Raw genomic sequence first — 23,450 nt, 5'->3', positions numbered from 1 at the left:
AGGATGGGGGAAGGGGGTCTCTGTCATTCTGCTGAAGGAAAAAATGGGAGCAGGCCTGAGCAGGGGAGAAGAGGACTTACTTGGTGGCAGCTCCAGGCCACCTCCCTCAGACCTACCTGCTAAGCTCCTAAACCTTGTTCCTATAAGACTGGCCACCTGGAATCCAAGGAGTCCATGCTCCAAACCTGTTCACTGCTTCTCGCCTGAGTACCCTGGGAGAGTCCCATTCCCCGGGGAGCTGCCTCTCAACATGATGGGAGGTGCTTACTTCTGGAGACATGAAGACCAGACCAAGTTCAAATCCTTGGTTCCCCATCTCCTGGTCCTGTGACCTTGAGTGAGTGAGTTCATGTCCCTGAGTCTCAGCTTCCCCACAATAGAACATGGTTGTGTTCCTGCATCCCAAGGTCATTTTATACATACACATATATAACATTTTCTTTGAGACAGTGTCTCACTCTGCTGCCCAGGGTGGAGTGCAGTGGTGCCATCTTGGCTCACTGCAGCCTCGACCTCCTGGGCTCAAGCGATCCTCCTACCTCACCCTCCTGAGTAGCTGGGACTACAGGCGAGCCACCACACCAGGCTAATTTTGTGTGTGTGTGTGTGTGTGTGTGTGTGTGTGTGTGTGTGTGTGTGTGTGTGTGTGTAGAGACGGGGTTTTATTATGTTGCCCAGGCTGATCCAAGGTCTTTCTTTTTTTTTTTCTTGAGACGGAGTCTCGCTCTGTCACCCAAGCTGGAGTGCAGTGACACCATCTCAGCTCACTGCAATCTCAGCTCACTGCAATCTCAGCTCACTGCAACCTCCACCTCCCAGGTTCAAGCAATTGTCCTGCCTCAGCCTCTTGAGTAGCTGGAACTACAGGTGCACAACACCATGCCCAGCTAATTTTTGTATTTTAGTAGAGATGAGGTTTCGCCATGTTCACCAGGCTGGTCTCGAACTCCTGACCTCATGTGATCCACCTGCCTCAGCCTCCCAAAGTGCTGGGATTATAGGCATGAGCCACCCATATCCGGAGGTCCAAGTTCATTCTTATGATTAAATATCAAAGCTTTCACAGTCACAGAAGAGACTGCAGACATGGCTTGGGCAATTATCTCTCTTCATACTAACTCTCTGTGTGCATGTGCCAATGTTTCAAAGGCATTCCCAGCCATAACTATTACTCACAGGGAATAAATCACCAGCCCCTGCACTCAGATGGTGTGACCCAGGCCACCAGAGATTGAGTGGCTTGTTTAATGTCCTGTAAAGGCAGAAACAACTCTAGAACCCATGGCTCAAAAGTCCCACTGTAGCCCAACCCAAAGGCACTGAGTGGGAAGAGCAGGAAATCAGGATTCAGCCAAGCCAGGCTCTAGTCTTGGCTGTGCCATGAACAGTGTGTGACCTTGGGTGGTGACTTTGGGTGAAGTGCGCTTTCAACTTTCTGACTGATGATTTCAGTGTCATTGACCAGCTATGTGACCCAGGGCAAGTGACTTCATCTTTCTGGACTTCAGCTTCCTCATCTGTGAAATGGGGTTGCCAGGAGGGCTCAATGAGCCATGGCCAGCAGGATGCCTGGCACAGAGCTTGGTATACGGTGGGTGCCCAATAAATGAAAATGTAGCAATGGTGGGCCGGGCGCGGTGGCTCACACCTGTAATCCCAGCACTTTAGGAGGCCAAGGCGGGCTGATTACTTGAGGCCAGGAGTTCGAGACCAGCCTGGCCAACATGGTGAAACCCCATCTCTACTGAGAATACAAAAATTAGCTGGGCGTGGTGGTGGTGGGCACCTATAGTCCCAGCTACTTGGGAGGCTGAGGCAGGATAATCACTTGAACTCAGGAGGTGGACGTTGCAGTGAGCCAAGATCACACCACTACACTCCAGTCTGGGCAACAGAGCTAGACTCCATCTCAAAAAAAAAAAAAAAAAAATGGAAAACAAATAAAAAGAAAATGGAACAATGGCAATCACAGTTCACTGCAGCCTCAAACTTCTGGGCTCAGGAGATCCTTCCATCTCAGCTTCCCGAGTAGCTGGGACCACAGACATGTGCCACCAGGAACATGACTAGTATTAGTGGTCAATATTGCTGTGATTAGTATTATCATTAGGAGAGGGAGAAGACAGGATGGGATCAACTTAAGAATCTCTTGTTCCCATGACTGCCCTGGAGAGGAAGTCCTGGAAGAAGATATCAGGGACCCTTCTTTCACCTTCCAGGGGGGAGGGATGTGAATGGAGCCAGGCCAGTCACCCCCCTGAAAGTCCCAAAGTCTCATTAACTGAAGAGATCCAGCCAGAAGGCCTGCTGGCATCACACTCAGAGCAAGCCTTTGCGGGCACAGAAGAGAGGGGTAGCCCCCAGCCACCTCAGGAGACTCTAATTTAGGGGCCAAAAGCCAGGGAGGCAGCCCTGCCTCAGCAGCCCTGACACTTCTGCCCCCGACGAGGATTTCTCTGGAGGAAAAACCACCGAGAGGAGGAGCCAGCTTTGGTGTGGAGCTTGCTCTGTTAGAAGCCAGGGGTCGGGGGGTTGGGGAGGCAGGATCTGACTCTGTTCCATCACTTAGCTGTGTGGCCCCAGGCAGCTCACCTGACGTCTCTGAGCCTCTATTCCTCAACTATGAGCATCATCACAATTCCTGCCCTTCCCAGCTCCCCAGGCTGTTGTGAGCACCCTTCAGGACGGCGTTGGCTGGCTTTGTAAACTGTCCAACACCTTAGGATGAGGCGCTGCCCTCATTAACCACCAAGCTCCCCTAAATAGACGGGCAAGGTGGGGTGGACAGGCCGCACGTGAGGTGCCACTCCAGGAGGCCAAAATGTTGATAAGGAAACAGACGCAGGGCCCAGGCCCCTCCCACCCCTCTGCCACGCCCACTCTCACCTCCTGCCTCCTTTGCCCGGGACACTCCAAGGAAACCCTGACAGTGGTATCGAAGATCCTGGGCCACGGCTTTCAACCCTCCCTCTGTTGTTGCACACAACCGTCCGTCCTGGGAGTCATGAGCCATTGGTCCTGGACTCTGGTAGCTGGGGGCTACGTAAGGATAGGGTAATTTGCCAAGGAGGCAAAGCAGGTGACGGGAGAAGAACTTGGATAGTGACATTTCAGCCCCAGGAGGCCAACCAGCCAGAGCGTCACACAGTCACCTAAATGTCCCCCTTCCAACCTCAGCTTCACCATGACAGGCAGGACCCCCTCCCTAGGAAGCCCCATTCTCCTATGGTAGCAGCCAAGTACAGCAGCTAAGAGCTTGGCTGAGCACTAGAACCACACTCCCTGGGTTCAAAGCTCGGCTCCTCCTTCTCAAGCTGTGAAATCTTCAGTAAGTTACTTAACCTCTCTGTGCCTGTTTCCTCCGCTGTAAAATAAGAGTGATAACAACAACACCTCATTGGGGTGTCGGGAATGAAAGGCATTTACACACCTACTGTGCTTTGTTAGCAAAGTGCTCGCCATGAAGTAAGTGCCCAGTAATTTGCCAGACAGTGGTCATGCAAATGAAAGAGGCTGCCTCCAAAAACATCGAGCTCTACGCCTGCAATCCCAGCACTTTGGGAGGCCGAGGCGGGCAGATCAACTGAGGTCGGGAGTTTGAGACCAGCCTGACCAACATGGAGAAACCCCGTCTCTACTAAAAATACAAAATTAGCCGGGCGTGGTGGCGCATGCCTGTAATCCCAGCTACTCGGGAGGCTGAGGCAGGAGAATCGCTTGAGCCTGGGAGGTGGAGGTTGTGGTAAGCCCAGATCATGCCATTGCACTCTAGCCTGGGCAACAAGAGTGAAACTCTGTCTCAAAAAAACAAAACAAAACAAAACAAAACAGTGAGCTCTCCATTCCCGGAGATAGTCAAGCTGTGGCTAAACAGCCACCTGTCAGAGGTTCATGGCCTGGATGACCTTCAAAATGCCTTCCAAATGTGAGCCCATAAAATCCCCCTGTGAAATGGCTCCCACCAGCTGCATTCCTCCTCCCTGCTGAGGCCCGGATGGCATGGGAGAGAGCCGAGTGGAAAAGCAGGGGGAAACAGCCTGGAACAGGCATGGAGGACCAAGGAAGGAGCCCTGGGCGGGGAGTCAGCCAGTCCGCCTTCCAACCCCAGTTCCAGCACCAATGCATCAATCCACCTCAGTTACTCCCTCTCCTCCAAGCCTCAGTTTTCCCAGCTGTAAAATGATGCCATTGAACTGAAGCCATCTCAAGCTGCATCCCTCACTCTGTGACCCTAAGAAGGAAGTGAGGGAAGTCCCCCCTACACACGCCCTTGCAGTCCACCTCTGCCGTTCTCACTCCAGGTTGCCGTGACCTGCCCTGCTAGGTGGCTGTAGGATCGGGGTCACACCCATAGAGGCACCCAGCACGGTTCTCCTCACAGAGTCCATCCCAAGGTGTCCCCAAGCTCCAGCACCTGCTGGGAGGGAGTAGGGTGCCCCAGGGCCTGACACACAAGGGTGTCAATGACAGCTGAGACCCCTCCCCCACGACCTCCAAAAGATTCTCCTCCAATTTAGCGAGGGGCAGAGATGGTTAAAAAGAGAAAGGAAACTGACCTCAATCCTGTGCAGTCCAATCGCAGTCCTCCGGGAAGGGAGCACAAGTGACAGGGGCAGCCCCCTTCTACTGGGAAGGGTCCCGTCTGTCAGTTGAAGTAGCAGGCAGGAGCCCAGAGGGTGAGTACGCTGGCTCCCCGGGCTGGGCCCACACAGAGCCCAGGTGTGTGAGTCACTCACTTGCCCGACCTGCTGGGCGGGCAAGGGCGGTAAGCAGGAGGACAGGAGGCAGCCCTGGCAGTCCACGAGGAAAAGCTAGACTGAGTCAAGCCAGCCGGGGCTGAGCCATCCATCAACCAGCCTGGGAGGACCAGGAAGCTGGCCTGGGTGAGGAAGGGAGGGGCAAGAACCAAGATGGGGAATCCAGAGGGGGGTGCCAAGTAGTAGGGCTGAGCTCCGACCACTGCCCGCTGGCCTGGGAAGGCACACAGGGCCTGGGTACAGGGCAGGGTTGGAGGGTCACCCATGGGCTGCACCCCTTTTAGCCAGAGAAGGTGGAAAGGAATATGCTTTGAAGTCAGAAAGATCCAAGTGCCAATCCCCGCCCTCTCCAGCCATGTGACATCATGCAACCGGCCTTGTCTCTCTGAGCCTCAGTTTCCTCTTTTTTTTTTTTGAGATGGAGTCTCTGGTCATCGCCCAGGCTGGAGTAAAATGGTGCGATCTTGACTCACTGCATCGCTGCAACCTCCACCTCCCAGGTTCAAGTGATTCTCCTGCCTCAGCCTCCCGAGTAGCTGGGATTACAGGCACCCACCACCATGCCCAGCTAATTTTTGTATTTTAGCAGAGATGGGGTTTCACCAGGTTGGCCATGATGGAGTTTCCTCCTTTTTTTTCATTTTCTTTTTTTGAGGCAAGGGCTCTCTCTGTCACACAGTGGCGGGATGATCAGATCACGGCTCACTACAGCCTCAAACTCCAGGGCTCAGGTGATCCTCCCACCTCAGCCTCCCAAGTAGCTGGGACCACAGGTGCATGCCACCACTCCTGGTTAATTTTTGTATTTTTTGTAAAGACAGGGTTTCACCATATTGCCCAGGCTGGCCTCGAACTCCTGGGTTCAAGTGATCCTCCTGCCTAGGCCTCCCAAAGTGCTGGGATTATAGCTGTGAGCCACGTGCCCATCCAGTTTCCTCCTTCTTAACCTGGGGTGATTATAATAGTCCCTACCTGATGGGGTTTTTGTGAGAATTAAATGAGACTGTGTAGGGAAAGGGCTCCTGGCTCCGAGAGAATTGGCCCTAATGGTGGCTCTGATTATGCTGATGCCTTTTTTTTTTTAGACAGAGTTTCACTCTTGTTGCCCAGGCTGGAGTGCAATAGTTCGATCTCGGCTCACCGCAACCTCCGCCTCCCAGGTTCAAGCGATTCTCCTGCCTCAGCCTCCCGAGTAGCTGGGATTACAGGCATGCGCCACCCGACCCAGCTAATTTTGTATTTTTAGTAGAGACGGGGTTTCTCCATGTTGGTCAGGCTGGGGCTGGTCTCGAACTCCCAGCCTCAGGTGATCCACCCACCTCGGCCTCCCAAAGTGCTGGGATTGCCAGTGTGAGCCACTGCACCTGGCACTGATGCTGCTTAAGGGCAGAGGGACCAGCACACTGAGTTCTTCTTCTTTTTTCTTTCTTTCTTTTTTTTTTTTTTTTTTTTTTTGAGACAGAATCTTGCTCTATTACCCAGGCTGGAATGCAGTGGGTTCCACTTGGAACAATCTTGGCTCACCGCAACCTCCGCCTCCCAGGTTCAAGTGATTCTCCTGCCTCAGCCTCCCAAGTAACTGGGACTACAGGTGTGCACCACTATGCCCAGCTAATTTTTGCATTTTTAATAGAGACGGGGTTTCACCATGTTGGCTAGGCTGGTCTCAAACTCCTGACCTCAGGTGATCTGCCCGCCTCAGCCTCCCAAAGTGCTGGGATTATAGGCTTGAGCCACTGCGCCTGGCCTCACTGAGTTCTTATTGTCAGTTTTGATTACCCCCAGATCTTAGCCAACATCTTCTGGGATCATTAAGAGCACAAGTATCTAGACATCAGGAACAAGTCATTCAACCACACACACTTGCTCTGCCCTTCTAATGTGCTCCTGAGAACCGAGGATGGGGTCTCAAAGGTAATCAACCCCTGCCCTCAACACACTCACGGATCAGCAGTCTGCACACAGATGTGTGAATTTCACACCAAAGCCCAGCCCCACTTTCTGCTCAGACACCAGCAATAGAGGCCTCAGGGTCCCAGACTGGGGTCCAGCAAACTATGGCCCATGGGCCAAATCCAGCCCATCATCTCTTTTGATAAGTAAAGTTTTATGGAAATACAGCCACACCCATTTGCTAATTTACCATATTGTCCATAGGTACTCTGGAGACACAACAACACATTTGATCAGCGACAGAGACTGAAGGACCCATAAAGCCAAAAATATTTACAATCTGGCCCTTTACAGAGAAGTTTACTGACCCCTGGCTTAGATGATGAAAATAATAATAATGAGGGCCAGGCGCTGTGGCTCACGCCTATAATTCCAACACTTTTGGGAGGCCGAGGCGGTTGGATCATCTGAGCTCAGGAGTTTGAGAAGAGCCTGGCCAATATGGTGAAACCCCGTCTCTACTAAAAATACAAAAAATTAGCCAAGCTTGGAGGTGGGCACCTGTAATTCCAGCTACTCAGGAGGCTGAGGCAGGAGAATTGTTTGAACCCCGGAGGTGGAGGTTGCAGTGAGCCAAGATCGTGCCATTGTACTCCAGCCTGGGTGACAGAGGGAGACTCCATCTCAAAAAGAAAGAAAAGAATAATAATGATAATCCTGGCTATTGGCTCTTACATGTGTTATACTCTAAAAACCTTTGACAGTGGCTCACACCTATAATCTTAGCACTTTGGGAGGCCAAGGTGGGCAGATTACTTGAGGCCAGGAGTTTGAGACCAGCCTGGGCAACATGGCGAAACTCTCTCTACAAAAACTAGCCAGGCATGGTGGCACGCACCTGTAGTCCTAGCTACTCAGGAGGCTGAGGCAAGAGAATCACTGAACCTGGAAGTTGCAGTGAGCTGAGATTGCACCACTGCGCACTCCAGCCTGGGCGACAGACCAAGACTTGGTCTCAAAAATAAATAATAATAATAAAAAACACCTCTCCATACATAATTTCATATAAGCTTCACAACAAGATTTCCCCTTTTTTATAAAGAGGGAAACTGAGGATTCTCAGAGCTAAAGTAACTTGCCCAAGGTCACACTGAAAGTCTGTAGTACATGGATGTTTTGAATGAAGGGCTGACCAAATCCAAAGTCTCTGGCTCACCTGGTTACCCAAATGAGGAAGTCCCTGTTGGATTGAAAAGTCCTGGAGCACGGGAGAGTAAACACATGCCTGGTTGACTGGGTTCCCTCCTGGGAGGCTGCCGACCTTTGCACCAGAGTCAGACTGCCCAGATTTGAGTCCTGGCTCTGATTATGAAATAGGAATACAACCATGCAGGAGAATTAAATGCAGGTTTGCCTATATAGCACCTAGAACAGCGTCCACCAGGCAGAAAGCCTTCTGCCACTGTGAGAGCTTTGTGGTCCTTATATGGAGGCTTGGAGTGTAAGAGAAGAGGAGGGAAGGTGGAAACCGGCTGCTCCACCTGCAGAAGTAATAGCATGGAGACCTCTTCGTTGGCGGGGACCTGGCCAGAGATGGGAGGGGCGATTCCAGGTTCCCTTGTTCTGGGGTTTTGCAGGGGATGATGCTGCCCCCTCCCACCCCCTAGCCTTGATTCCTGCACTTTCCTTAACCCTGGCAAGGAGGAGGTTGCAGCAGTTGGGAGGCTGCATTCTCATTCCCAGAGCTCCACCTGGGAAGGGCTGCCTTCTCATCTCACCCACCGGGAAGGCTGACCCGGGCCTTCCACTCCCACGGCAGCAGCAGCAGCAGAGGTCAGGGGACAGGGACGGGGAGTGTGGAGCTGCCAGAGCTGGCCTTTGTGTGTTCACTTGAAACCCTGGACCAGCCCCCATCTGTTGAAGGGTGGAAATGTCTCTGGAATCTCCTCTCTGGCCCTGTAGAGGGGAGGGATCTTCTCTACTCTTGCCCCTCTTCACCCCACCCACACCCCCAGCGGGCCCTGCAAAGGCCCGAGGAGGGCAAAGGAGGGGCTGAATATTAGGGAAGGAACCACGAGTTCAGAGAAAAACAAATCAGTAAATCCACTTCCACTTTTTTTCCCCCAAACTGTCGGTCACTCCAAGAGGTGAGGGGAGGCTTGCTTTTCCCCACTGGTAGCATAATGAGTTTCCTAAGCCATACTCCACTCAGCAAGGCTGCCGGGCAACCGGCTCCCCCAGCACACTGGAAGCAGCCCTTGCCAGCAGCAGCTGTGCCCACCTACAGTCACTTAGTCACTGAGACAGTACCCCAAGGAGCCCCTCACCAAGCCGTTAGTCTTCTCTGCCATCTGTACAGGGCCTCAAAGCAGTACCATGCTGGGCTCACCATTAACTGAGGCTCAACTTTGATTTAGAAGCAGTATCTGGGCAGGTGCAGTGGCTCACACTTGTAATCCCAGCATTTGACTCAGGCGGGCAGATCTCTTGAGTCCAGGAGTTCAAGACCAGGCTGGGCCACATGCAGAACCCTGTCTCTACTAAAAGTGCAAAAGTTAGCCAGGCATGGTGGTGCACACCTGTTCTCCCAGTTACTCAGGAGGCTGAGGTGGGAGGATCTCTTGAGCCCAGGAGGCATAGGTTGCAATAAGCCATGATTGTATCACTGTACCCTAGCTTGAGTGACAGAGCAAGACCCTGTCTCAAAAAAAAGAAAAGAAAAAAAGAAAAGCAAAAAGAGAAGAAAAGAAAAATAAATAGTATCTGGCAGGGCACAGTGGCTTCAGCCTGTAATCCCAGCACTTTGGGAGGCCGAGGCAGGAGGATCCCCTGAGGTCAAGAGTTCAAGACCAGCCTGGCCAACATGGTGAAACCCCATCTCTACTAAAAATAAAAATACAAAAATTAGCCAGGCATGGTGGCCCACGCCTATAATCCCAGCTACTCCAGAGGCTGAGGCAGGAGAATCACTTGAACCTAGAAGGCAGAGGTTGCAGTGAGCCGAGATCACACCACTGCACTCCAGCCTGGGCAGCACAGTGAGACTCTGTCTCAAACAAAAAAAAAAAAAAAAGAGAGAAAAAGAAATAATATCTAAGTGCCCACCATGTACCCTGGCCTCCCCTACAAGATGCCAGGAGCACCCTCTCCCACACTTCTGTCAGCCAAAAATGTCTGCAGACGTTGCCTAATGTCCCCTTCCCCAGGACAAGTTGCCCCCCATTGAGGACCCTTGTTCACAACCACCAATTTCATGTGATTCCCGCACCAACTTTCTGAAGAAAGCAGGCTGGGCATTTTATCCATAGGAAAGCAGAGGCTTGGTGCTATCAAGAGGGTGTCCCATTTCAAATAGTCAGTGGCTCATGCTCCGCAAAAAGAAGCTGGAAAGGGAACAAGTCGCTCCCTCAAGGGGCCGGAAGGACAAGAGGTGCCGGGCCGAGGTGGGCTGGACGGGGCCGCTGGCACGAGAGGCTCAGAGGCCGCAGCTGGGGCTCCCTCCTCCCCCACCTCCAGCCAACTGGCCTCCAAGCTGAGTAGGTCCCCAGGCCAGGTCAATGTGGTGGCCTAACCAAGGCCCAGGATGACTTTTAGAGGTCCCCCCAACACACACACCTCAAAAGCAATAAGCCAGAAGACACAAAAGATATAGGTAAGGCAAAATGAAAATAGCATCTTTCTAAATCTTCTGATTGAAAATTCCCAGATGATTTCATCAGAGTGGAAGTGATTCCATAAAGGGGTGTCCCAATTCATTTCTTATTGAGGAGGAGCTTGCCCAATCCCAAACAACCCTCCCATTTCCTTCCTGAGAAGCATGTTCCACTCCCAAGGATGGATCCCAGCAGGCATAGTGATACCATGCGATCCATGCCATGGCTTGCCCACTCGACAGTCACATTCTCTGCCTCAGAAATTTGGAACTGGCAAGTCAGGTGCAGTGGCTCACGCCTGTAATCCCAGGACTTTGGGAGTCTGAGGCGGGTGGATCACTTGAGATCAGGAGTTCAAGACCAGCCTGGCCAACATGGCAAAACCCTGTCTCTACTAAAAATACAAAAATTAGCTGGGCGTGGTGGCAGGCGCCTGTAATCTCAGCTACTCGGGAGGCTGAGGCAGGAGAATCATTTAAACTCAAGAGGCGGGGTTGCAGTAAGCTGAGATCATGCCACTGTACTCCAGCCTGGGCAACGGAGCGAGACTCTGTCAAAAAAAAAAAAAAAAAAAAAAAAAAAAAAAGAGGCTGGGTGAGGTGGCTCACACCTGTAATCCCAGCACTTTGGGAGGCCGAGGCAGGCAGATCACCTGAGGTCAGGAGTTCGAGACCAGCCTGACCAACATGGAGAAACCCTGTCTCTACTAAAAGTACAAAATTAGCTGGGCATGGTGGTGCATGCCTGTAATCCCAGCTACTCAGGAGCCTGAGGCCGGAGAATCGCTTGAACCTGGGAGGCGGAGGTTGCAGTGAGCTGAGACTGGACTGAGCCAAGATTGTGTCATTGCACTCCAGTCTGGACAACAAAAGAGCGAAACTCCGTCTCAAAAAAAGAAAAAAGAAAGAGAAAAAAAGAAAGAATTTCCATGTAACATCTGGGGACAGTTGTTTCTGGAAGAGCATCACCCTCTGCCCAAGGTCAGCCCTCCAAAATTAATACCTCCAATTGGATACCCCAGATTTCTCTTTCTGACCCATGCGAGAATCATCCTGCAAACATTTTTGATTGTGAAATTGCTTAATGCAGCTCTATGGCCCTCCATGGTTGAAAACCTTTCTCTACCCTCCCCAACCTGCATTTTGTTTCCACTTGTCCTTGTCAGTATTTCCCAGCTCAAATTTTCACCTGAAGTCAGCAGTCTTGGGTCCAAAGGATTTCTTGCTAATTCCAAACACCAGACTGACCCTTGGAGAATGAATGCCCTCTCCACTGAATACATTCAAAGCTGTGCCCAGGCTCTGAAGACATTTCCAAGAGCAAAGTTCCCAGGAGTGTCAGGGTTCAGGTGTGTCGCTGGAGGAAGTAGAGCCTTCTAACTGTAACTGCTATAAAGGGACAATAGTCTCTTACATGGATAAGCACTCCTGTGGTTAGAACAAAATCACAGAAAAAATGTTTACAGGTTACACCCTGTTTTTCCACGGCAGTTGGGGAAATGCTGCCAATACCCCACGTTCCTGGAAGAATAGGATTTGACTTGACCAAGGCAGTATGATCACCCAGAAACCGGGCAAAGTCATTTTACATAAGCCATCTGGTTTACTCCCAAACAGCCTGAGCTGCAGATCTTTGTAATTTTTTTTAATTAATTAATTAATTATTATTATTATTATTATTTTGGAGACAGAGTCTTGCTCTGTCACCCAGCCTGGAGTACAGTGGCACGATCTCAGCTTACTGCAACCTCTACCTCCCGGGTTCAAACAATTCTCCTGCCTCAGCCTCCCAAGCAGCTGGGATTACAGGCGCCCGCCACCACACCCAGCTAATTTTCATATTTTTAGTAGAGACAGGATTTTGCCATGTTGGCCAGGCTGGTCTCCAACTCCTGGCCTCAAGTGATCTGCCTGCCTTGGCCTCCCAAAGTGCTGGGATTACAGGCATGAGCCACTGCACCCAGCCTGCAGATCTTATTATGCCCATTTGAAAGATGAGGGGCTGAGCACTGTGGCTCACACCTGTAATCGCAGCACTTTGGGAGGCCAAGGTGGAAGGACTCCTTGAAGCCAGGAATTCAAGACCAACCAGGGTGACATAGCCAGGACCCCATCTCTACGAAAATAAAAAAATTAACCAGGCATCATAGTGTGTGCCTGTAGTCCCAGCTACTCGGGAGGCTGAGGCAGGGGGATCACTTGAACCCAGGAGGTCGAGGCTGCGGTAAGCTGAGATCATGCCACTGAACTCCAGCATGAGCAAGACAGCAAGACCCTGTCTCAAAAAAATTAAATGTAGGCTGGGCGCGGTGGCTCAGCCTTGTAATATCAGCACTTTGGGAGGCCAAAGCAGGTGTATCACTTGAAGTCAGGAGTTCGCGACCATCCTAGCCAACATGGTATAACCCTGTCTCTACTAAAAATATTTAAAAATTAGCTGGGCATGGTGGCAGGTGCCTGTAATCCCAGCTACTCAGGAGGCTGAGGCAGGAGAATCACTTGAACCCGGGAGGCAGAGGTTGCAATGAGCCAAGATCACACCACTGCACTCCAGCCTGGGTGACAGCAAGACTCCGTCTCAAAAAAAAAAATTTTTTTTAATTTAAAAATGAAAAATGAAAGATGAGGAAACTGAGGCTAACAGAGGTTAAATAATTTGACAAGTCATACAGCTATTAAGTGAGAGTACTGGTATTTAAATCTAGGTTCTTTAATTTCCAGGGCCCAGGCTCTTAACCAAGGGGAGAAATGGATTGAGGCAGCCAGTGGCAGGTGGTACCAGAAACAGGGAGTCCAGATTCTGGGCTCAAGGTTCTCCAATTGGCTCCCAACCTCCTAAGCCACCTGCCCGCAGCCTTGACAGTGTAAGAAGTCATGGCCACATGACAAAGTGGGCCTCGCATGCTGCATGAATGCAGAACGGGAACTCTTATCCGCACCCCTCATCCTCATCCCACTTTTGCAAACAAGGTTGAGGCCAGATGCCCATTTTCAGGGTCAACCTCTTAGAGACAGATGCCATTTGCTCCCTTTCGCTGTGGGACAAATTGCTGGGTTGGGCCTTGACTTTAGCAACTTCTAGCTCAGATGGGAGGTCCTCACCCTAGGTGAGGGGATGTGATCTACTTGCCCCTTCCTGAGTTGCTCTCTCCCAAGCCTCCAGCCACACATCCTCAAGAGCTCCCAACTGAGATGGAGACGCAGCAACAAATACTGTAGGCCTGTAATTACAACAGGGAGGGATCAAACAAACCCAAGTTTGAATCCAGCTTCATCAGCAAGCCCTGTGACTTTGGGAAAGCCACTTGACCCTTTGACCTCCATATGCCCGTCTGTAAAATGGGGATAAAGACACTCAACTATAAAGGCTGGTGTAAGGAGTAAATGAGCTCATTTGTATAAAGCACTTAGACTGTAGGCTTAGCAGGCCATTCATTATGCAGGGACCATGGGGGCACTTATGGTTTTTTATTCTATTATCCTAAAAAAACCTTCAGATTTCATGGGGCTGGAACTTACCTTTGTATCCTTTAAGTTTTAATAAGCAAATTAGTTTGTTTCTTCCAAAGCATTTACTGCAATCACTAATGAGGTGATATATCTCTTGGCTTAGATTTTATCTATGCCCTCAACTGGGTCATAAAGTCCGTGGAAATCAGACTCTGCCAGCCTGATTCACTGGTGTACCTACTGCCTAACCCAGTGTTGAGCGCATAGTAGGGGGCTGATAAGCATGTATTGAAGAAATGAATAAATTTAAGAAAGCAAAAGTGAACACCGTGGAAGCCCCATGTGCACTCACGATGGCCAGGATAACAGCAAATGCTTCTTATCTGTCATTTAAACAGATCTACTGAAAACCTCCACTGCACCAAATCAATTCATCAAAAATGCAGAGGAGAGATTAAACTCTCGCCTTGGTGCTCAGGATTTCAGCTGCCTCATCTATGCTAGACTGTCCTGAGTTGAGGGGCAGGAGTAGGTAAGGTCTAGGTGGAACAGAAGTGGGGAAGCCTTACCTAAACGGCTAGGGCTCTGAGGGGAAGAGAATTTGGCAGCTAAGGACAGGCACGGCAGCTCACACCTGTCATCCCAGCTACTTGGTGAGGCTGAGGCAGAAGAATCACTTGAACCCAGGAGCTGGAGGATGCAGTGAACCGAGATCGTGCCACTGCATTCCAGCCTGGGCAACAGAGCAAGACTATGTCTCAAAAAAAAAAAAAAAGAATTTGACAGCTGGCATTTTCTGGGTACCTGCTCCATCCCCACCACTGAGCCACCTTACCTGGTTCCGCCAAGATTCACCCCACCTATTTGTAATAGGTTTATTATTATCCCCATTTTTTAGAGGTGGGGTCTCACTGTGTTGCCCAGGCTGGTCTCAAAATCCTGGGCTCAAGTGATTCTCCTGCCTCTGCCTTCCAAAGAGCTAGGATTACTGGTGTGAACCACCGTGCCTGGCCATTATCCCCATTTTGTAGATGAGAACATTGAGATTCAAAGAGATTTAAGCGTCTTGTCCAATCATCACAAAGAGAGAAAGAGGCAGAGTTGGGATGTGGAGCTTCTTCTTCCTTCTTCTTCTAATTTGGGCCCAGTTTGGGCAAATGTCAGCCCATCAGCGGCTGTCCCAAGTTGGAGTCCTGAGAGCAGCATCCAGGCAGCCGCATTCCTCAGTGTCAGGGGCTGATGCCACCGCAATGTGGAGATATCCCTCCAGTTGCCTTGGCCAGGGAAGGAGGATCCCTATGGGGCCCCTCCTACTGCAAGAGATGGGCAGAGTATAGGGCCCAGCCCAGGGAAACCAAGGCAGGCAGTCAGGTGCATGGCACAGGTAGGGCAAGGTAGGCCATGGAGGGCCCTTTCTCCTCCTCGTTGGTAGGCAAAGCCCACACAGGCCAGGCCAGCACTGGCAGTTGGAGGTGACAGAGCCTTAGTCTTACCACATCGTACAACTCGAGAGGTGCCTTCACAGCCTGGGGACGGTGCCCCCAGAGTCATGCAGTGCTCCGCCCTGACATCAGGCACCTGGACTGCACCAAAGGCAAGGCTGCCCCGAGTCCTGGGAAACGTAAAGGCTGATTCACTGAAAATCGGTCCCTTCCAGAGGCCCCACAAGCCTCAGGAGAGGCCTCACTTTCCCCTCTCCCCTGCCCCTCTGAAGCCAGTGAGTTCCCAGGCTTTCAACACTGAATGCAGCAGCTTCCTCAAAGACTTCCTGTTTGTAAGTCATTAGGCCTCAGGATCACCGGTGAAATCAGGGAGGAAGGAACTTTTTAAAGTTAAGTGATTTCTGGCAGGGCACAGTGGCTCACACCTGTAATCCTAGCACTTTGGGAGACCGAGGCAGACGGATCATCTGAGGTCAGGAGTTCGAGACCAGCCTGGCCAACATGCCGAAACTCTGTCTCTACTAAAAATACAAAAATTAGCTGGGCATGGTGGCAGGCACTTGTAATCCCACCTACTGAGGAGGCTGAGGCAGGAGAATTGCTTGAACCTGAGAGGCGGAGGTTGCAGTGAGCTGAGATTGTGCCACTGCACTCCAGCCTGGGTGACAGAGCAAGACTCTGTCTCAAAAAATAATAATAATGATGAAAATAAATTAAGTGATCTGTATTGCCAATAAAGCTCCTCAGTGGGGCCCCTGATGAGACCCCACCCCCACTTTCCAGACAAGTGTCAGCCAGCCAAGGACAACTGTGGAAGTCATTGCTCATTGGGGCTGGCACCTTCCATGACTGGGGGGAGGAGGGCATGGAGAGGTAGGGGGAGGAAGGGATGGGAGAGGAGAAGGATGGGGTGCGAGCCGGGGTGGATGGGCAGCCATGGGGCTTGGTGCTGGGAGGCAAAGGGGCAGGAAAGAGGGCAGGACAGGGCTGGGCACAGTGGCTCACACCTGTAATCCTAGCACTTTTGGAGGCTGAGGCAGGCAGATCACTTGAGTTCAGGAGTTCAAGACCAGCCTGGCCAACATGGTGAAACCCCATCTCTACTAAAAATACAAAAACTAGCCAGGCATGGTGGTGCACACCTGTGCTCTCAGCTACTCAGGAGGCTGAGACAGGAGAATTGTTTGAACCCAGGAGGTGGAGGTTGCAGTGAGCCGAGATCACACCACTGCACTCCAGCCTGGGTGAGAGAGCAAGACTCCATCTCAAAAAAAACAGAGGTCAGGACAGGTGCTCAGGGGCCCATGTTAGGATGAGCTGAACATGGAACTCACGTGGAGCAGAGCAGGGAGGAGCAGCAAGTCAGCTAGAAAGCCTGTGCGGCCTCAACCTCTGCATCCCAAAATAGGTGGGAAAGGGTCACCGTGAACAAAGGCCACGAGGAGCAGAGGATGGAGTGTTTGGTGCCCAGTAGCTGCCTGTGCCTAGAAGGGGCTGCTGCTGTTGTCCCTGTGGCATGTCACCAGTCACATTCCTTTTTCCCAGAGAGCAGTGTCTCCTGTGCGCCAGGCCCCGACGCCCACCTGCAGCCCAGCATGGCCTCCCACAGCACATCAGGAGGCCCAGGGCAGAGGCCCTGAGATCAGTCCATTCTGTACAGATGGAAGCATCTCCAGAGACCTGTCTCCCCTTGCCTATGTAACCACCGGAGGCTGCTCCTGGAACTGCACCCAGGAGCTGTGATGGACAAGGCAACCATCCACGGCTCTCTCCCCAACCTCCCAGCAGATCCATGAGGACCAGTGGCTCATAAACTTACTTCCCTGGGTTCAGGGGGCACCCGCAGCAAAGCAGGAAGGCAAGAAGCTGTCATTAACCACCTACCAAGTGCCAGGTGCTTTCATAAGCCTTTCTACCTCCCAACAAGCTCCTGAGGTGGGTGCCATTGGCACACCCATGTTCCAGATGAGGATGCCGAGGCCCACAGTGGGACAGTGCCTTGCCAGAGTCAAAAAGACATGATCTGGCCGGGCACAGTGGCTCACACCTGTAATCCCAGCCCTTTAGGAGGCCGAGGCAAGAGGATCACTTGAGGTCAGGAGTTCCAGACTAGCCTGGCCAACATGGTGAAACCCTGTCTCTACTAAAAATTAAAAAATTAGCCTGGCGTGGTGGTGTATGCCTGTAGTCCCAGCTAATCGGGAGATTGAGAGAAGATGGCTTCAGCCCAGAAGTTGCAGGTGGTAGTGACTACAGGCGCCCACCACCACACCTGGCTAATTTTTGTATTTTTAGTACAGACAGGGTTTCACCATGCTGGCCAGGCTGGTCTCAAACTCCTGACCTCAAGTGATCCGCTGCCTTGGCCTCCCAAAGTTCTGGGATTACAGGTGTGAGCCATGGCACCCAGCCAGGACACTGGATTTGAACCAGTTGACCAGTCTGTGACCTTGAACATGTCCCAGAGCCTCGGATACCATGTTTGTAGAGTTGGAGTCATAATAACTGCTTGAGTGTGTGTGTGTGTGCATGTGGTGGAAGGTGCCTAGGGGAGATCAGATGAGTTCAAGAGCTCAAGAATGTAAGAACCCTTTATAGCTTAAGGTTAGAGGTGAAGACGTGGGGTGAGGCTGCCTGAGTTCCAATTCTGGTTCCTTACCAGCTGTAGGACCTTGGACAGGACATGTACCTCTCTGTGCATGTGTTCCCACTTGTATAACATGGGGATAATAACAGAGGGTTTGGGGAGCTTTCAATAAGAAAACATATGTATACATATGTAACTAACCTGTACATTGTGCACATGTACCCTAAAACTTAAAGTATAATAATAATTAAAAAAAAGTGGAAAAAAATAAATAAATAAAAAATAAAGTTAAATTGTTATCAATTTAAAAAAAAAAAAAAAAAAGAAAATGCTCACAAAGCCCTTGGCATAGTGTGGGTAGACGGTGCCGGTGCAGTCAACACAGACTATTGTTATGAACGGCTGTGTGAGGTGAGGAGCCACCGTCAGTCTGATGGGGCTAAGGAGGCCCTGTGCCTCTTGGCTACCTCAGCCTACACTGGAATTCCTCAAAGGAATTTATAGCACAAAACTGGAAGGATCGGGGGAGTGAAGGCGCAAAACCAGACAGTTCTTGGCTGATTTCTTTTCTTTTCAGAGATGGCAGTCTCACTATTTTGCCCAAGCTGGTCTTGAACCCCTGGCCTCAGGGAATTCTCCCACCTCAGCCTCCCAAAGTGCTGGGATTACAGGCATGAGCCACTGTACTTGACCTATTCTTTGCTGATTCCTGATCATAACTGACAGGAGTCCAGATGGACCAGTTCAGTCGATGGACAGCCTGGTCTGGCTCCTTGCCTAATCTCTGGGACACCTTGGTCAGCCTTTGGGGAGCATTAAAAAGGGGTCACAGCCGGGCGCAGTGGCTCACACCTATAATCCCAGCACTTTGGGAGGCCGAGGCAGGCAGATCACCTGAGGTCAGGAGTTCGAGACCAGCCTGACCAACATGGAGAAACCCTGTCCCTACTAAAAATACAAAATTAGCCAAGCATGGTGGCGCATGCCTGTAATCCCAGCTACTCGGGAGGCTTAGGCAGGATAATCGCTTGAACCCAGGAGGCGGAAGGTGTGGTTAAGACGAGATCGGGCCATTGCACTCCAGTCTGGGCAACAAGAGCAAAACTCCGTCTCAAAAAAAAATAGAGTCCTGGATCCAAATCCTGGCTCTGCCACAAACCTGGCAATGCCAGGCAGGTCCCTTACACTCTCTGAGCCTCATCCTGCTTTAAAAGGGGGATAATAAGATTGATCTAACAGGGTTCTTGTAAGGATTCAATGACACAGATAAAAGGCCTGTCCCTGTGCTGGCATACAGTAGGTACTCAATACGTGGAGCCGCTATTATGCTATTGTGATTTCTATTACCATTGCTTCCAGCTGGGCGCAGTGGCTCATGCCTGAAATCCCAGCACTTTAGGAGGCCGAGGTGGGTGTATTGCTTGAGCTCAGGAGTTCGAGATCACCCTGGGCAACATGGTGAAACCCATCTCTACCAAAAATACAAAAATTAGCTGGGCATGGTAGAGGGCACCTGTAATCCCAGCTACCCGGGAAGCTGAGGCAGGAGAATTACTGGAACCTGGGAGGCGGAGGCTTCAGTGAGCCAAGATCACACCACTGCACTCCAGGCTGGGTGACAAAGTGAGACCCTGTCTCAAAAAGACAAAACAAAACAATATTGCTTCTTTTTATTTTCACTTTACTACTCTCCCAACTTGAGGACTCAAGCAGAAAGCAATACCTAACACTCATTCACTGCTCATATGAAGTTGTAAATGTTGTTCACCAAATACTTCCAGCTGTCCCCTTCTAGAAAGAAGGATGGGCCCTTTGGGTGGGTGGGGCCGATGAGTCCTGAACTCCCTCCTGAGCTTCTCTTTTCTCTCTGGGGCAGTGGCCAGAAAAGTGCTGAGATGAAGAACGTCACCAGCCCTGGACTCTACGTGACCATAATGCTCACAGCTCCTGGTCCACCTACTGCAGACATGTAACAAGGGCAAGAAATAGACGCTTGCTGTTTTGTTGTTGTTGTTGCTTGAGATGGAGTCTCACTCTGTTGCCCAGGCTGGAATGCAATGGCACGATCTCGGCTCACTGCAACCTCTGCTCCTGGATTCAAGCAATTCTCCTGACTCAGCCTCCCGAGTAGCTGGAACTACAGGCGCCCGCCACCATGCCTGGCTAATTTTTTTGTGCATGTGTGTATTTTTAGTAGAGTCGGGGTTTCACCGTGTTAGCAAGGATGGTCTTGATCTCCTGACCTTATGATCTGCCCACCTCGGCCTCTCAAAGTGCTGAGATTACAGGCATGAGCCACCCCGCCCAGACTTTTTTTTTTTTTTTTTGAAACGGAGTCTTGCTCTGTCGCCCAGGCTGGAGTGCAGTGGCACGATCTCGGCTCACTGCAACCTCCGCCTCCTGGGTTCAAGCGATTCTCCTGCCTCAGCCTCCCTAGTAACTGAGATTGCAGGCGCGTGCCACCATGCCCAGATAATTTTTGTATTTTTATTTTTTTCCAAGACGGAGTCTTGCTCTGTCACCCAGGCTTGAGTGCAGTGGCCTGATCTCGGCTCACTGCAACCTCTGTCTCCTGGGTTCAAGCAATTCTCCTGCCTCAGCCGCCCGAGTAGCTGGGATTACAGGTGCCTGCCAACATACCTGGCTAATTTTTGTATTTTTAGTAGAGACGGAGTTTAACCCATGTTGGCCAGGCTGGTCTCAAACTGCTGACCTCGTGATCTGCCCACCTCTGCCTCCCAAAGTGCTGGGATTATAGGCGTGAGCCACTGTGCCCAGCTAATTTTTGTATTTTTATTAGAGATGGAGTTTTACCATATTGGCCAGGCTAGTCTCGAACTCCTGACCTCGTGATTTGCCCGCCTCCGCCTCCCAAAGTTCTGGGATTACAGGTGTGAGCCACCGGACCTGGCCGACCTTTGCTGTTTAAAGTCACTAATATTTGGGATTGCTAATTTTTTTTTTTTTTTTTTGAGATGGAGTCTTGCTCTGTCACACAGGCTGGAGTGTAGTGGCATGATCTTGGCTCACTGAAGCCCCCGCCTCCCGAGTTCCAGCGATTCTCCTGCCTCAGCTCCCCAGGTAGCTGGGACTACAGGCGAGCACCACTACTCGCGGCTAATTTTTGTATTTTTAGTACAGACAGGGTTTCACCATGTTGGCCAGGCTGGTCTCAAACTCCTGATCTCAGGTGATCCACCTGCCTCAGCCTCCCAAAGTGCTGGGATTACAGGCATGAGCCACTGGGCGCAGCCTAGGGTTGCTAATTATGGCAGCACCACCAGGCCCGTTCCAGCTGATATTCTCCATGTCAGACACTGTGAGAAGAATCTTATGAACATTTAATTTATTCCTCATATTGCTTCTCTGGGACAGAGACTACTATCATATAGCGTTACCTGTTTCACAGATAAAGAAATTGAGGCGGCCGGGCGCGGTGGCTCACGCCTGTAATCCCAGCACTTTGGGAGGCCGAGGCGGGTGGATCACGAGGTCAGGAGATCGAGACCATCCTGACTAACACAGTGAAACCCCGTCTCTACTAAAAATGCAAAAAAATTAGCCAGGCGTGGTGGCAGGCGCCTGTAGTCCCAGCTACTAGGGAGGCTGAGGCAGGAGAATGGCATGAACCTGGGAGTCAGAGCTTGCAGTGAGCGGAGATCATGCCACTGCACTCCAGCCTGGGCAACAAAGCAAGACTCCATCTCAAAAAAAAAAAAAAAAAGAAAAGAAATTGAGGCTCACAGAGTATGCAAATGGACCATGACCATTTCACTATAATTGGCCATATCAGTTAATTGTTGCTGCATAATAAACTAATCTAAATGGAATGACTTATAAAATGATAAGCCTCTATTACAGTTCAGGATCTGCAGGTTCGCCGTGTGGTTTTGCTGGCCAGGGTTGAGCTAGGTTGAACTCAACTGGACTTGGCTTTCTCAGGAGTCTGCTGTCAGCTGGCAGGCCTGATGGGGACAGGCTGGTCTAGGATGGCCTTGCTTGGGACACTCTCCTCCTCATGGTCTCTCATCCCCCTGCACTCTAACCCAGGCTCATATCACACCAAGGTCCGAGAGAGAGAATGTGGAAGTGGGCAAGACCTCTTGAGGGCCTGGCTTGGAAGCCACAAGTCCTCACTTCCATCACTTCGTATTGGTCCAAAAGAAGTGGAAAAATATGCCTCAACAATGGGAGAAATGAAGCATGGTGGCTATTTTTGACACGCACACAGTGGTTGGCTCAGGACTGGAACACAGACCCGTCACTTCACTATTATGTCATCCTGACCCTACTTCCAGCTCAAATTGCCAACAGGCACCTTGTTGAGGATGGAACTTGCACTTCTTCCCTTTCCAGCTCAGGCCCATAAACATTCTTCTGAGGATGAGTTACCCCACGGAGAGCTTCAGAGGCACAACTTTTTTACTTATTTATACCTATTTGCCTGGCCACCCATGCATTTATGAGATTCCTATTGCAGGAATTAAATTCACAGCACAGGCAGCTGGGGCACAGGCAAGACATCACAGAAAGGAAAGCAAGTACGAGGAGGCCTTGGATCACATGGCTTGGCAGGGGCCCAGTCCCCAAGGGCCCAGTCATGAGTATCATGGATCATTCCCATTTATAATGCTGTCCTCACGAAACCATCTCCGCAGAAATCGGTCGAAGAAGGCAGCAGCTGCAGCCCCAAGGACTGGGAAACCACAGAGGGTTCTTCGATGCGCATGGCGCCCCCTGGCGTCGTGCACTGAGCAGCACCTCCAGGACTGCGGGGACTGTATGAAGGGCATGATCCTGTGCCCCTTACCCCGCCCCATAGGCAGCCTCTGGGCTTGCAGGTGTGGACCTTGAACCAGTCACTCAGTGTTCTGGAGCCTCAGTTTTCTTGTCCACTAATCAGGATTATGATGCTACCTCTCATCCTGGCTCCGAGGAATCAATGAAATAAAAGGTTAGAGCCTGGTGGTGGCCACAGAGCATCTTTTCCTCCATCCAGAGGTCAGTAGCTCCACCTCCCCAATCAGAAACAGAAACATAGCCAGGTGCGGTGGCTCACGCCTGTAATCCCAGCACTTTGGGAGGCTGAGGCAGGAGGATCACAAGGTCAGGAGTTCGAGACCAGCCTGACCAACATGGTGAAACCCTGTCTCTACTAAAAATACAAAAATTAGCCAGGCATGGTGGTGGGAGCCTGTAATCCCAGCTACTTGAGAGGCTGAGGCAGGAGAATCGCTTGAACCCAGGAGGTGGAGGTTACAGTGAGCCGAGATCGTGCCACTGCACTCCAGCCTGGGCAACAGAGCAAGACTGTGTCTCCAAAAAAAAAAAAAAAAAGAGGAAGAAAGAAACAGAAATATGAATGCCAACCAATGTGGAACTCAGGGTCAACCCTCACCATTAGTCTCAGGGTGCTCACCTGGACAATATACTCTTGTATTGCTCAAGTAAAAATCACATAGAAACCCTGCAGGAGATAAAAGATTTCTTTGTTTTGTGTGTGTGTGTGTGTGTTGTGTGTGTGTGTGTGTGTGTGTGTTTGAGACAAAGTCCCTTTGTCACCCAGGCTACCCAGGCTGGAGTGCAGTGGCGTGATCTCAGCTCACTGCAACCTCCACCTCTCAGGTTCAAGCAATTCTCCTGCCTCAGCCTCGATCCACCTGCCTCGG

At 51.0% G+C, this 23,450-nt stretch overlaps 1 protein-coding gene across 5 annotated transcripts in view, besides 3 other annotated features; it reads right to left on the bottom strand.

Moving 5' to 3' along the window:
- The window catches only part of ARHGEF10L (Rho guanine nucleotide exchange factor 10 like), a 184,441-nt gene extending 172,861 nt beyond the window's left edge, over positions 1 to 11,580 (bottom strand). For 4 of the 5 annotated variants that reach the window (XM_006710728.1, XM_006710731.1, XM_047424111.1 and 1 more), the window contains exon 1: positions 4,557 to 4,818. The gene's annotated coding sequence lies outside the window, so the exon portion shown is untranslated. Of the gene's footprint in view, positions 1 to 4,556; positions 4,819 to 11,491 lie in introns of those variants that run through there. The other variant, XM_024448061.2, reaches the window with a different exon arrangement.
- Positions 2,394 to 3,058: an enhancer, noted in NCBI's record as "H3K4me1 hESC enhancer chr1:17848453-17849117 (GRCh37/hg19 assembly coordinates)". NCBI's record gives its function as "activates a minimal SCP1, AML or CMV promoter by ChIP-STARR-seq in primed H9 embryonic stem cells {active_cell/tissue: H9 hESC(primed)}" and the evidence as "EXISTENCE:reporter gene assay evidence [ECO:0000049][PMID:30033119]".
- Positions 3,059 to 3,725: an enhancer, noted in NCBI's record as "OCT4-NANOG-H3K4me1 hESC enhancer chr1:17847786-17848452 (GRCh37/hg19 assembly coordinates)". NCBI's record gives its function as "activates a minimal SCP1, AML or CMV promoter by ChIP-STARR-seq in primed H9 embryonic stem cells {active_cell/tissue: H9 hESC(primed)}" and the evidence as "EXISTENCE:reporter gene assay evidence [ECO:0000049][PMID:30033119]".
- Positions 10,081 to 10,582: an enhancer, noted in NCBI's record as "H3K4me1 hESC enhancer chr1:17840929-17841430 (GRCh37/hg19 assembly coordinates)". NCBI's record gives its function as "activates a minimal SCP1, AML or CMV promoter by ChIP-STARR-seq in primed H9 embryonic stem cells {active_cell/tissue: H9 hESC(primed)}" and the evidence as "EXISTENCE:reporter gene assay evidence [ECO:0000049][PMID:30033119]".

The sequence above is a fragment of the Homo sapiens genome, chromosome 1, assembly GCF_000001405.40.
Source record: "Homo sapiens chromosome 1, GRCh38.p14 Primary Assembly".
Lineage (NCBI taxonomy): Eukaryota > Metazoa > Chordata > Mammalia > Primates > Hominidae > Homo > Homo sapiens.
This window is presented reverse-complemented; position numbering and strand designations above follow the sequence as displayed.